The sequence below is a fragment of the Homo sapiens genome, chromosome 10 (genome assembly GCF_000001405.40).
Source record: "Homo sapiens chromosome 10, GRCh38.p14 Primary Assembly".
NCBI classification, from domain to species: Eukaryota; Metazoa; Chordata; class Mammalia; order Primates; family Hominidae; genus Homo; species Homo sapiens.
The window spans coordinates 118,676,085-118,690,297 of record NC_000010.11 but is presented as its reverse complement, the minus strand read 5'-3'; the positions used below and the strand labels follow the sequence as shown (position 1 = coordinate 118,690,297).

Here is a 14,213-nt window from a genome sequence, read left to right as displayed (position 1 = left end):
CTCGCTCTGTCGCCCAGGCCGGACTGCGGACTGCAGTGGCGCAATCTCGGCTCACTGCAAGCTCCGCTTCCCGGGTTCACGCCATTCTCCTGCCTCAGCCTCCCGAGTAGCTGGGACTACAGGCGCCCGCCACCGCGCCCGGCTAATTTTTTGTATTTTTAGTAGAGACGGGGTTTCACCTTGTTAGCCAGGATGGTCTCGATCTCCTGACCTCAAGTGATACACTTGGCCTCCCAAAGTGCTGGGATTACAGGTGTAAGCCACTGCACCCGGCCCAGTATTCTTAAATAAATGCAAAATAATCTGAGTATGATGTTATAGGTTTTTTTCTAGGCTTACCATAATTCTGAAGTCTTTATACTTTCATACATTCATGTTTTATTTGAACATTTGCTCTTAATTTAGGATGAGTTTATACCTTTAAAAAGACAGCCTTCTGAAAACTTTTTTGTGAAGCAGTATAGGAATATAGCTCTTGTGAATTTTGAGCATATTGAGTTTGCCTTCCAGAGCAATGCATGGAATTGCTTAAACGTGCCCATTTTTCTAATCCTAATTTTGGTACTGGAATAAGAGAACAGGGTGCAGGACTGCTTGGTTTATAGTAGCTCTTATGTCAGATTTGCTTGGGATGAGATGAGTAACTGCCTCTGTAAATAACCTCAGGTTGCATTGTGTCTGCACATGAAGGACAAACATGGCACTATTCAGCCACTGGCCAGTTTGGTTATATTCAGGGAAATGTCTTGAATTTTTGGTATAAATAGGAATTTTTGTCTCTAAGTGGAATTATTTTATAAAACTTCTGGCTGGATTTAAATACTAGGCAGTATTCCAAGGGATGATAAAATGTTTTTACAAACTTAATTAGACCATTTTTGTAATTAAACTTTATTATACATGTGCTATGAGGATTAAACTTTGCCTCATAAAAGTATTCTGACAGGTGCTTTGCACAGAGTAAGTCCGCCAAAGTGGACGTTCTCATATGTAATTCTGAGCTTACTCATACTGGCCAGGAAGGACGTGCACATGCCACCTTTGGCAGCTGTGATGGGGAGCCTGCCTCTGCTCTTGTGCATGGACCTTCCACATTCTGTCCTGTCCAACTTAATGCCTTAATTAGGAATAATATTTTAGAAGAAGTGGTGTCTACTGATGCCCCCAGAAAAGGAGAATATAGTACAGCCTGTCTTAAGAATTCTGTTTCTGCCTCTTCTTATCTGAGCAGTCATTTTATGGTTTATGCCTAACCAACCACGTGATTCCTGTTCATTGTTATGGGCACTTTTTCATGTAAGATGAACTTAAGTGATGTAGTGATCCTGAGTAGGCAACAAACAGCTTTAATGTGGATGGCACAGAGTAAGTCTTTGAATTGTTTTAAAATAAAGTGACTGTTGTCAAATACATCCTTTTTTGCAGTTAGTGGATTCTCATTTGAGCTGGAATTTTTGTGAATTGTAATTGTTAGGTGCATGGAAATATAGGGTAGGCTGGAATTAACACATAAGCTAAAAGCAACAGCTTCTTTTTATCTCTTACCTACATAATTGAATTGATTGGCGAGGGGTGGAAGTTTGGTATCTGTTGTCAACGGTAACACTACAGAAGATAACTACTAGATCTAAGTAACCAAGGTAAGAACATAGGTCTTTTAGCTGAGCAGGTGACGCCGAAATTTGGGCTTTTTTATTTTGTAGTAAGGGTTTTGAGAGAGCGTTCCGGACTTAATCTCTTCAGCAGCCTCTTGCATAAATCACATTGATACTCCTTTTCCTGCCTCCAGTTGTTTTCACGTCTGTATTTTTCTCCTGTTATATTTACATGTTCAGTTTTTATTTAACCTTTGAGGAATGGAAATGAAGGTTGTGTCTATAAGTCGAGGTTCCAGATATAAAATTCTGTCTTCCTTTTTGATCATTAACTTGTTTGTTTCAGAATATTTGGTGAATGCAACTGTGATGATACTAGTGTGAATAACAACGGAAGACACTCACTTGGCTTTGGCTAGGTGTAGTGTTGACTACAGAGGTGTTTAAAAAGTGGCCTGAGGGCCGGCCTGTTAGAGCTCTTTTGGCTGTGGAAGCTAATTTGTGCTGAATGTGGTGCCTACAGAAAAACCCTTCAGAGGTCATACAGTGTGTACTCTTTCTGCCGGTCAGTTGAGGCTCCTTACCTAGCTTAGCAAGAGGTTTCTGCCCTGGTCCTCAACATAACCAGAGAAAGTAAATGGGAAACTTTATCTGGAAAATTATTCAAAAGCAGGAAATAAATCACCTTGGTTAGCATTTTAATAATTTATCCATGAGACTATTTACAAGTTACTACTTTGTCAATTCAACAAATATTTATTGTCTATACTCTTCTAGGCAGTGGGGTGAACAACACAGGCCAAGTTCCTGTTTTCATGGAACTTATGTTCTGATGTTGGGAGGCAAATAACAAACAACAAACATGTAAAAAAAAAATAATATTGAGTAGTAAGTCCTATGAGTGGACAGTAAGTAGTAAAGTGCTGACATGCAAGGGACAGCCAGTGAGCCAGGATGGCTGACTTATAGTGAACAGAGGCAGAGAGTGGAGGAAAGTGAGGTGGGAGAGTAGGCTGGAGAATGGGTTGGAATTAATTTTTAACTGTAGTGGGAAACCACTGAAGGGCTTTCATGAGAGGCATGAACTAATCTGTCTTCTACATGAGATCACTCTGGCTCTCATCTGGGTTGATAAATAAGGCTCATGTACTTGTGTAGGGAAGAGAAGACTGTGGCTTGGCTTGGGATCATAGCAGTGGAGTTGATGAGGAGTGATTGGTTTTGGGACAGAATGCCCCAGAATGAGGAAAAGAGAGGATGACCAAGGATTTTGGGTTGAGTGATCAAGCTGGAAGATTGAAGAAGGAATGGGGATGGATTGGAGTCAGCATTGTATTCTGGTCATGGTAAACTTGCCAGTGTATATAAATCATCCAAATGGACATGGTGATGAGGAGTTGGACCTGTAGATCTGAAGCGTAGAGAGGAAGGCAGAGTTGGAGATGTAGATATGGGAGCCTCTGGCCTGTGGAGAGAGTGTATGATCACCATCCTGGACTACACGTGGAGAAGAAAAGATGACCAGCGACAGAGGGCTGGGTAGAGCCAGCAAAGGAGACCTCAAAAGGATGGCAGACAGGGTGAGGTAAGGTCAGGAATGTGTGCTGTGGCATTACTGAAACCTAAAGAGAAAAAAATCGTGTTTCAGGAAGAAATCAACTTATAAATGCTGAGGAAGAAAGGCTAGTAGTGATTATTATTTCTCATTACCTAAGCATTTGAGTCATTTCTGTTATTGTCTGAGAAGCTGGAGACACAAAAATAGGATTTGTAGGTAGCTTAGGGCCTAGTCAGAACCTCTATTTTCTTAACTCTAAAGTGGAATTAGAACTTTCATAGGTGTTTGAGGATGAACTGGTTAATACAGGTAAAGGCTCATGTTCTTCCATCTGCAGAAAGCATAGTGAGGTACATCAGGATTCTAAGATGTTTAATATGTATTTTTAAATAGGTTTGGTTAGAACTGAAATGTCTGCTATACTTTTATTATCAAATATGTTGATCCTTTCCTCCTGTTTTGATGTGAAGTCAGTTTTGTTGACTGCCTCTTCTTATCCCCAGGGGTGACCAGTCCCGGAAGAGAGCTGGGGATGAGTTGGCTTATAGTAAGTAATGATGTTCCTTCCCATCTTGATGGTTCTGTGATGTAAAGCAGCCATATTAATGCACTGTGATAACAGTGCATTGAATTTGATGATACCCATGTTGTTCTCATAAGGCACTGCTTGTAATCAAGGTCAGGATGCTTTGCATGCTGTGGCAGCTCCAGCTGGTAGCGATGGTTCTCAGGGCATTGGAAAGAGGCCACCAGGTTCTTTAGTTTCTACTGGGATGACATCGTAGCCCAGTCCCAGTTCCTTAGGTTCTCAGTCCCCTTTTACTTCCCTCCACCCCACATGGTTTTGAGGATTTTTTTTAAGCCTTTTTTGGGGAGTTGGGAGAGGAGTGAGAAATGTGTGTTGAATAAACAGATTCCTGCTGTTATCAAATGCTGTCTGCTCTTCATACTTTTTCCTATTCTGATGTTTTTTCAGATAGCTCGTCAGCATGTGCAAGTTCCAGGGGGTACAGATAGTGAATGTATTGAATATGCTTTCCTTCCTGAAAAGAGGACACACTGGAGCTGCAGAGACTGTATTCAGAGCACAGTGGGGGCTGCACACACTCAGGAGCTCTGTCACAAAGCTGTTCATGGAAGAGGATGTTGGACTTCTTACTTGGTTTGTAATTTTAAAACAAAAACTAAAAAAAAAAAAAACGTTGCTGCTAGACTTGGGGGTGATTTTGAAATGGGACAATCTTTTAATGAGTTTATCTACAGATTCTGTGAGGAAAAAGCATCTCAGAAAGTGACCATTTCTAAGTGAAATCTGACAGCCAAAATCAGCAGCTTCCTCCAAAAATATAAGAGCAGAAGAATTTTTTTTTTAAGCACTTGTTTTGTTCATTTGTGGACTTGGCATTTTGGTGTATTGGTTTCACATGTCAGGATCTCTTTTGCTTTAAAACCAAGCAGATCATTACAGTACAGTATTTTTCACCCACAACCAAAACAACCCCTTTTAAAAGAGTTGGTCTTTGTTTAGCATTAGAAAGTCTTGTTAAAGGAAAATGCTAACTCTGCTTTTGCTAGAACTTTCCCCCATCAGTTCACAACTTTCTTCTACTCTGTGCCTTGAGCTTTGTGCACTTTGCAACTGTGTGACCATGTTGTCAAACTCCTCCTGGAGAAGTGTATGGTATCTAAACTCACCCACCAAGATGGCAGGTGTGGCCCTGTAGCAGGATGCTAATTAAGTGGGAAAATAGAAACCTTTTGCACATGGGTCGGATTTTCCCCTGGTTCACCAGAGCATATTCATATTAATGTTGGGGACCAACTCTCCTAGAGCATTTCCATTCCCTGTGCCACTTAACACGATGTCTGTCACCAGCTGCTATAGTATTGGCAGTACTCTAGTTTAGGGATGGGCGGTACTTTAGCACGGAAGCTTCCCTTAGTATTATTGAGAGCTACTTCCTGCGATGCTCTAGGAAGCAGATACAGTTATTAAGTCCAAATACACAGTGGTGTGGGGTTCCTGATCACTTCATTTTAAATGAATGAGATAATTACTTAAAAAAAGTCTGTCATTTGAACATTATATTTGAGTGTGATAGGGAAGAAGTAGCACTGCTGTCCTAAGGCTCCCTTCCAGCTGTGGCAAAGCTATATTTCTGTTTCTCCACATCCACAGTGCTTTTTAGTCCATCATAAAAGTTTCTGAAGCTTATTCTAGCTGTTGTTGAAAGCCCAAGAAAAATAGATGTGGCAAGAGAAAAATACTTTTCTTCTCAATTTTGCTTGAATCTTAATTGAGCATAGGCTTCTCTACTAGGCAACATCAGACTAATAGTATTTACCTCTTCAGAGAACTTGAGGGGAAAAGAAACATCCCAGGGATGCTGTCGCATGTCTGCTCTGCAGGTTCTTCATACAGCTGCCTCTGCCAATTCAGTTTATTTTTTGGGGGGAGTGGTGTGGGTGGGAGAGTTAGAAGTGGGATATTGGGAGCAAGTAAGTCACCCAATAATTGAAGTCCTTGATTTGTAAAACTGTTATACAGAGAAGTAAAGATAAAGGTTGTCAGATTTATTTTTTAAAGTACTTAACCAGAGTTCGTGGATTTTGTGGACTTTAATTGGACTCAATTCACTCTGTGAGCATCCTGGATTGCATCGATGAACACTGAATTACTGTAAGAACATAGACAGGCTCTCACTATGACCTGGACAGTTTAAGTTGCTACACTGGTAACATTCTAGTATCAAGGAGAATTCCATTCATCATGACATTCACATTTTACTTTTCTCAATGGAATGCTTGCTTCAGGCTTACCAATCACACCTAGAACTGAAGTCTGAGTGAGTGGTATTAATAATTTTTCTGAAAGGAATAAAATTGGAATGTTTCTAAATGTGGAGAAATTCTTCAGTATCCTAATAATATACCCAAATGCTTTTTCTGGGAGAGAGCATTCTTTTACAAAAGAACTTTCCCTATAAAAGCATCACAGTATAATGTGAATTGGCATTAAAATCTTTGGATGCTTTTGCATTATTAAGTTCATGGAGAAATATATTCTTTTTACTATGTATGTATTAATAAAAAGTGGGCAAAGTAAAGTTTGCAAAATTTAGTTTCTCTAAATTTTTGCACAGTGACTGCAGCTGGCTATGGGTCAGCTCTTAATACAACAAAACCTTGACTGGAAGTCACTATAGAAAGGTTGTACATAGTCTCCCAGTCTACATGTCCTGGCTGTTAATCATCTTGGCCCCTTGAGGCACATCACAGTTTGAAGGACCTGTTTAAGTTGAAATAGACTTTGCTTATTTATTGGGATTCTAAAAAATTCTGAGTGAGTTTGCAGTATGAGAGGAAATAAGATTTCCTCCTCCTTCCTCTCATTTTATATTGACTGTTTGCCAGAAACTGTTTTCTTCTGTTTTCTTATATTTTGTTTTTGAGATGGAGTCTCACTCTCTCACCCAGGCTGGAGTGCAGTGGTGCAATCTCAGCTCACTGCAACCTCTGCCTCCTGGGTTCAAGTGATTCTCCTGCCTCGGCCTCCTGAGTAGCTGGAATTACAGGCACGTGCCACTACGCCCGGCTACTTTTTGTATTTTGTTTTTAGTAGAGACGGGGTTTCACCATGTTGGTCAGGCTGGTCTTGAACTCCTGACCTCAAGTGATCCACCCACCTCGGCCTCCCAAAGTGCTGGGATTATAGGTGTGAGCCACTGCACCTGGCCTTTTTTTTTTTTTTTTTTGTATTCTTGCCAGTACAGTATATGGTTTTTCTACCCCAATTACATACTGGGTTTTGTACCACATCACTAAAGGCCCAAATCATTGAAGATACAAAACCGTACATGCAGGCTGGTTGTCTGGTTAGTCAATGGCTGATTTGCTTCAACTGTCTAGTATGTATGTGCAGCCTGAAACTGGCTCCTTAAAAGGAAAGCCGGGTCAGTCATCTTGAAAAAATGACATGTAAAAGTAAATCGATAATTGTTTTGAGAGACGGTACATGTTTTAAAGGTTGGCCTTAAGCTTCAGTAACATTGTCATTTTGTGACCTTTTGTTGTCACACCTGTACCCTAACCTGACAGGAATTAACTACTGTTTTTTTGTGGGGCAGAAAGCAAAACCTGGTGTTGTGACTTTTATCCTAATGGTTCTTAGGCAAGGTTAGTGAGAAGAAACACAAACCCAGATGCATGCATTGTGCATTATTTTGTAGACAAGCTACTTTTTCTTCTGTCCCTTTAACAAATTTGCAGCAATTACCCTCCCTTTGGGGTCTAGAGTGAAAGCTAATTTGTGGGTAGATGAGATTGCAGAAGAATGGATGTCCATGGCTGTGAACACTGCACACTGCACATCCATCTCCAGTGCTCACACTGTGCAGCTACCACTCCCTGGCTGCGTGCCATGCTGTCGGGTTGCAGATTTGCACACATAAATTCCTCAGGAAGAGTTTGCATGAGCATCACCTCGCAATATTCTGTACTGACCAAACAAGGGATTTGAACGTTTTTCAGCACAAAAGGATAACTTCCGAGTGGTGGTCTGTACGCATACTAGCAAAGGTAATGGTGATCTAGCAAACAAAATTGGTTTCTGCAGTTAGAAGTGAGCAGGAGCACTTGTATTATAGTATTTAAATAATCCTGGTTAATCTCTTTTTAAGCCGAGTAACCCCTCCAGATTTTGCCTTTTTATTATTGAGGCTGGCTTTATTTTCTTCTACTTTTTTTCCCGTTTTATAGCAGTTAATTATTTTTGTGATTATTATGCAAGAAGCATTGCCCTTGAGTTAAACTGTTATTGTTTCATAAGCAGCTATTAAAATAACTGAGCATTGTTTTATGAACATACACTAATCTGAGATACTGAAAAGCTTTGCAACTAAAAAGCAAAACAACCTACATTAGTCATCTAGCCATTGTTTGGATGTTTTGAGTTGATTTTTTATGGTGCCTCTTTTAGCTTGGAATATTACGTTTACTTTAATCCAAGTCTAGGCCTTTTAAAGGGTCCTTAAAATTAAAGTTCAGAATGTGAATCCCTTTGACATCTATTACAGGTTTATAGGACCTTTTTGGTTGTGATTACTGTTTTCAATACGATTGTATAAATGAAGTTAACTTTGTCAGAAGTTAAAATGGAGGTCATAGGAGTTCCTGGAGAAATGGCTCTCCTGTTTCTTTCATTACCCCACTGAAGTTCACCCCAGTTTCTGGCCACAAGAATATGAGAAAGGAACCCTGTTGTTTTCCAAGGGAAATCATTCCTCTCTGTCCCCACTGTTGATTAACTAAAGTCCTGGACACCTTCCTTCCTCCACTGGCCAAGACCCACCTTGACCCACCTTGAACCTCTTTTCAGAGCCGAGTGGCATGAATATGTGTACTGTTTCTGCTTCTGTTGATGGAGTGGCTGTGGGAGAATTAAAGGAAATGCTAATTTGAGCTTCATTCATAGGGGAACCTACTATATATTGCATCCCTGCTGGTTGGAAATTATCTTCATCTCTGGACTGCATTGTTTAGAAAAATGTTAATGGCTTACAATTCTGAGAACTTTATTGTGTGGCTCTGGGGTTAAGAATTCTGTGGTTTGAAAAAAAATAAATATTTTGTATTGATTCTCACGTCATTTCAATGTTGTGACTATGTACTAAATGCACTAAGACTGGGTATTCTCTTAGAAGAGTGCGTTTTGTTAAACAGATGGCAGTTCACTCTCATTAGTTCTATTTGTCAATATTACAGCCACACACTTCAGGATAACTTACTCAAATGTGAAGTCATGGGAAGCTATGGCTAGTAACAGGAATGCTTATGAAAAATTTGGAGGGCAAGCACGAGCAAGAGGCTTTTGCCACTCACTAGCACAGCCAGAGCAAGGATGAAGCAATGAAGTCTTGTTCCTAGTGGTGCTTGTATGTCAGAAGCCATAGTGAGCTCAGCACAGGGCGTTCTGCACATCATCTCTTTAATCCAAGAAAAACAAAATGGCGGATGAAACTCCTATTGACCTGGGATACAAAGCCACTGACTTTGGCTCTTGATCTTTTGGTGGGTTCTGAATCACTCCTTCTGTATTAGGGCATATACTTTCACTCTAAAACATTGTGGTAAATGAAATAAATCTTGTACAGATGTCGTTGGCCTTGTTATGTTATGTTATAAATCCTGTACAGATGTCCTTGGCCTTAATACCTGGTTCACTGGAACTTTGTTATAATATAGAATATTTGATTTTGCTTATAGCATATTAATATTGCCTCCTACATGACAGCCACACTGAGCACACATCTGTTACCACAGTTACTTAGCCTGCAGGGTGAGTGTTGATCTTGACTTCTGCAACCAGTGCTAAAAAACAGTGTGTAACAATATACATATGGTCATATCTATTCTATATTCATATATAGTATGGATACGGATATCAGTATATTTGTAGTTTTTGTTTTTTAAACACTGTACAGTTTCTTCTGTGGACCTTTAATCAACTTTTGGACTTAGGTTGTTTTTTTCTTTGCATTTATTGGTACTATGCTTTTTTATAACCCTTTGTGTTTTCTTGCTATGAAATTAGTGTCATCCCCTAGGTTATTTGTAACCTTACTTTAAGGTTTTAGTTTCTCTTGCTATCTCTGTAGAGGTGTCCTTTCCTACAGTATTGTCAGAATGCCAGTTCTCATCCCTTCCATTTTTTTGACCTCAGCTCTGTTGTGATGTTATCTACTTTTTGGTTATCACATGTGGCAGAATTCAGTGACTCTGACAATTTCCATTTTCACTCCCCTGCCCCACAGTTAAGTAGGGTGTCATTTAAACTCTTTCCCTTTTAGCAGGTTTGTTTTTTACTAAGTACAAACCTTTTCTACTAGAACCAGCTCTGTGTGTGTGTGTGTATATGTGTGAATTTTATTTCTTCGATTGGCCTGTTTCTCAATTATCTAAAATTCTAAAATACCTTGAATATCAAAAAGCATGATAGTAGAATGAATATCACACATATTAATAGAACCTGAGAGCAACTAGCTTAACTAGCTGTAGTCTTGAGTAGGTTTTTTTTTTAATCTGTTTTCCTTTATTAAGCCCTCTCCCTCCCTAAATTGTTAAGCCAGAAGGGCATAACAATTCAAAACTTTCTAGTAATGTACCTACATGTCTAATAGTATACCTCAAAATATGTAAAGAAAAAGTGGCTCACACCTGTAATCCCAACACTGAGAGGCTGAGGTGGGAAGATTGCTTGAAGCCAGGATTTGAGACCAGCCTGGGTAACACAGAACCCCATCTCTACAAAAAAATTTTTTAAATTAGGGCCGAGCATGGTGGCTCACGCCTGTAATCCCAGCCCTTTGGGAGGCTGAGGTGGGCGTATCATTTGAGGTCAGGAGTTCAAGACCAGCCTGGCCAACATGGTGAAATTCCATCTCTACTGAAAATACAAAAATTAGCTGGGCGTGGGGGTACACGACTGTAATCCCAGCTACTCGGGAGGCTGAGGCAGGAAAATCGCCTGAACCCAGGAGGCAGAGGTTTCAGTGAACCAAGATTGCACTATTGTACTCCAGCCTGGGCGACAAGAGTGAAACTATCTCAAGCAAAAAACAAAAAAAGTTGGGCCTGGCACAGTGGCTCTTGCCTGTAATGTCAATACTTTGGGAGGCTGAGGCAGGTGGATCACTTGAGGCCAGGAGCTCGAGACCAGCCTGGCTAACATGGTGAAACCCTGTCTCTACAAAAAATAAAAAATAAAAATAAATTAAAAAAAAATTAGGCATGGTGGCATACACCTGTAATCCCAGCTGCTTGGGTGGCTCAGGCACAAGAACTTGAACCCAGGAAGTGGAGGTTACAGTGGGCTAAGGTCACACCACTGGACTCTGGCCTGAGCAACAGAGCGAGACTCTGTCTCAAAAAAACACAAAAAAAGTTGGGCGTGGTGGTACCTGCTTTTAGTCCTAGTTATTTGGAGGCTAAGGTGTGAGGCAGGAGGATTGCTTGAGCCCAGGAGTTTGAGGCTGCATTGAGCTATGATGATACCACTGCATTTCAGCTAGGATAACAGAGTGAGACCCTGTCGAGAAAAATATTTAAAAAGTTAAAAGAAAACTACAAAAAGGAAAAATGAACACACTACAAAGAGAAATAGGTCAGTCTACCAACATAATGGGCATTTTCAACATACCCCTCTCAGTAATTAATAGATCTTGCAGAGACTAAATTATGAAGATTATTAAGGACATAGAAGATTTAAATAGTACAGCTAATCAATTTGATCTGACAGATACATAACACACACATACATAAAACACATTGTACCCTTCAGTAGGAAAATAAGTTTTTGCAAACCAAGTCTAACAGTGTATTCAAAATGTAACAAATGATGACCAAAATGGATTGGTCTCAGGAATACAAGATTGGCTTTTTAATGTAATTAAGAAATGCTGTTTATAATAGGACAAGAAAAAGTACCTAAGAATAAATTTTAAAATGAGAAAATGATAAAAAAAAAACTTAATGGACCTAAATAAGTGTAGAGAATATAAGGGATAACACTCAATATTATCTAAATCTCAACTTTTTCTCCAAATTGCAATTCCAAAAAAATTCCCAATGATTTTCACTGTGGAACCTGACAATTTGATTCGTCGATATAAATGGAAGAGCAAAGGGCCAAGGATATCCAAGACCTTTCTGAATGGATTGTGAGGGGAACTAGCACTACAAGATTCTAACACTTACTGCCAAAGGTAGTGATTAAAACAATGACTTTGGAGTAGGGAAGAATTTCATCAACAAGATAGAAAATGCAGACTATCAGTAGATAAGTAATTTGGCTACCATTGATTGTAAGTACTTATTACCAAACATGCTGTAGAGTGAAAAGAGAAGCCAAATCTGGAATAAGATACAAATATTCATAATATAACTGCTAAAGAGCACCTGAATGCAAATCAGCAATGAAAACAACTCAGGAGAGACGGACCCCAAACACTAGCAGGCATTTCACAGAAGAAACAGAAATGGCCCATAAATGTGAAAAGATGTTCAGCCTCATTAGTCGTCAGGTAATGCACATTAAAAGCATAGATACCATTTCCTTGCTGACAACTTGGCAGAAATTATGAGAAGTCTGAAAATAACAATCTGAGAGTTTATGACAACAAACCTTCACCTGTTGTTGGCGTGTAAATCTGCACTTCTACTTTGGAGAACAGTATTATCTAATGAAATTGAGCATAGGCACCTCTTAATAGCCCACTATTTATACTTAGAAAAACTCATGTGCATGTGTACCAAGAAACGTATACAGGGATGTTTATAACAGCATTATGTGTAATAATTAAAAGGAATGAAGGAGGGAGCCAAATGCCCATCTAGCATACAGTGAATAAATGAAGTGTATGCTGTGGAATTCTCTAGAGTGGTCAAGGCATCATACCACTGCGGGCTTCAACATGGATGCATCTCAGAAATCATTGAGTGAAGTCAGAATAGAGCCAGCATGGGTACCTTTATGTAAAGTTCAAAATCAGAAAAAACTAAGTATATTGTTTAGGGACTCAGACACAAGTAGTAAAGCTATAAAGGAAAGACAGTTATTAACATTCAGGAACATAGTTTCCTCAGGAGAGGGTGGTGGAGGGGAATGAGAACAGAGGGGAGAACGGGGACTTGGAAGCACTTCATAATATGAACGTTTGGACCATTCTAAACATGCCAGTTCTCTGAGTTAATGTATATTCAGTGTAAAGCCAATTCAGATAACCAACAGTATTTATATAATCTAAAAAACTCATGGAAGTATAAACAGATGAAAATAGGAAAATCCCCATTGAAAGTGAAGAAAATGGAAGGAACTTGCTGTACCAAAAAAAATCACTTTCTAAGTGCAATTAAATTAAAAGACTTATGCCAGGGTAAACAGATAAGTCAATGGAAGGTAATTTAGAAAATAGAAAACTCAAATTTAGAATTTAGAGTACACTAAAGGCGGCTTTTTGAAATCATGCTGTCCATGGTCAATTATTTTATGAAAGGTGCTGGTATAATTAGAGAACATTAAACTGATTCCTATCATACCATTCACCAAGAGAAATTCCAGATTGTGAACTAAAAAAGAAAAAAATGTTGTAAAAACTAGAAAGTAGTATTTTTTCTTGGGATTGGAGAAGTTTTTTCTAAGAATACAAGCAATGAAACCGAAAACCCTATTAAACTCACTCACCTGCCTTTAATGCCGTAGTGTGCACACCCCAGTGTGTGTGTGTGTGTGTGTGTGTGTGTGTGTGTACATAGACATATATATTTTAAAATGTTTAAATTTGAACATATGTTACCAATACATATAAAGCAAAAGTAGAAAATCAAAAAGATGAAGTAAAAATGTTTTAAAATATTGTTTGTGGTATTTGTGGTTAATAAACCTTTGCTCTTTCTAAAAAAATGTTCTTTTAGAGAGAGTCATGATTAAAAATGCTTGTCATTTTTGAAACTCCTAGTTTTAACACTTTATAAAAACAACTTAATGTTCTTAAGGTAAGTTTATTTTCATGCTTGGTTTTAATGACTATTGTAGCTGAATAAGTCACTTCATTAATTAAGATCTGTGGATCCAAATATGGCTGTGCTTACTGAAAATATTTTTGAGTTCCATCCACCAATTTTGCAAAAGTGTGTTGTTGAAATTTTTATAATAAATTTTCATCTTTTCCAATGTCAGTAACTTGTTTTTGCTGAATAATTAGGAGTGTTGCATTTTTATTTTTGCTAACAGATGGGTTCAAAACCTGCTGTAACTTATTTTTGAATTTCATTTCCCAAGTTTAAGTGTACACTTTGAAGAGTTTTTATAGGTGACAATTTTTGGCAACACATTTTCATGAATTCTTGCTCGGTCATCGTTAGTATTAAATGTTATCTTTACCTTGAAGGGTCAGTTTAAATCTGTCCATTTAAAAAAATACTTTCTAGATTGCATATTGATTACAGACACTTGTCACCACAGGAAAGATTGGCACATTCAAGTCTTTTTATCAATTAAAAAA

At 38.8% G+C, this 14,213-nt stretch overlaps 1 protein-coding gene across 1 annotated transcript in view; it reads left to right on the top strand.

Moving 5' to 3' along the window:
- Positions 1-13,887, top strand: part of CACUL1 (CDK2 associated cullin domain 1) — a 78,560-nt gene extending 64,673 nt beyond the window's left edge. The window contains exons 8-9 of the mRNA NM_153810.5: positions 3,657-3,700; positions 4,130-13,887. Coding sequence (NP_722517.3) covers positions 3,657-3,700; positions 4,130-4,170 — 85 coding nt within the window. The 3' untranslated portion in view covers positions 4,171-13,887. The remainder of the gene's footprint in view (positions 1-3,656; positions 3,701-4,129) is intronic.
- Positions 13,888-14,213: the final 326 nt, after the last annotated feature.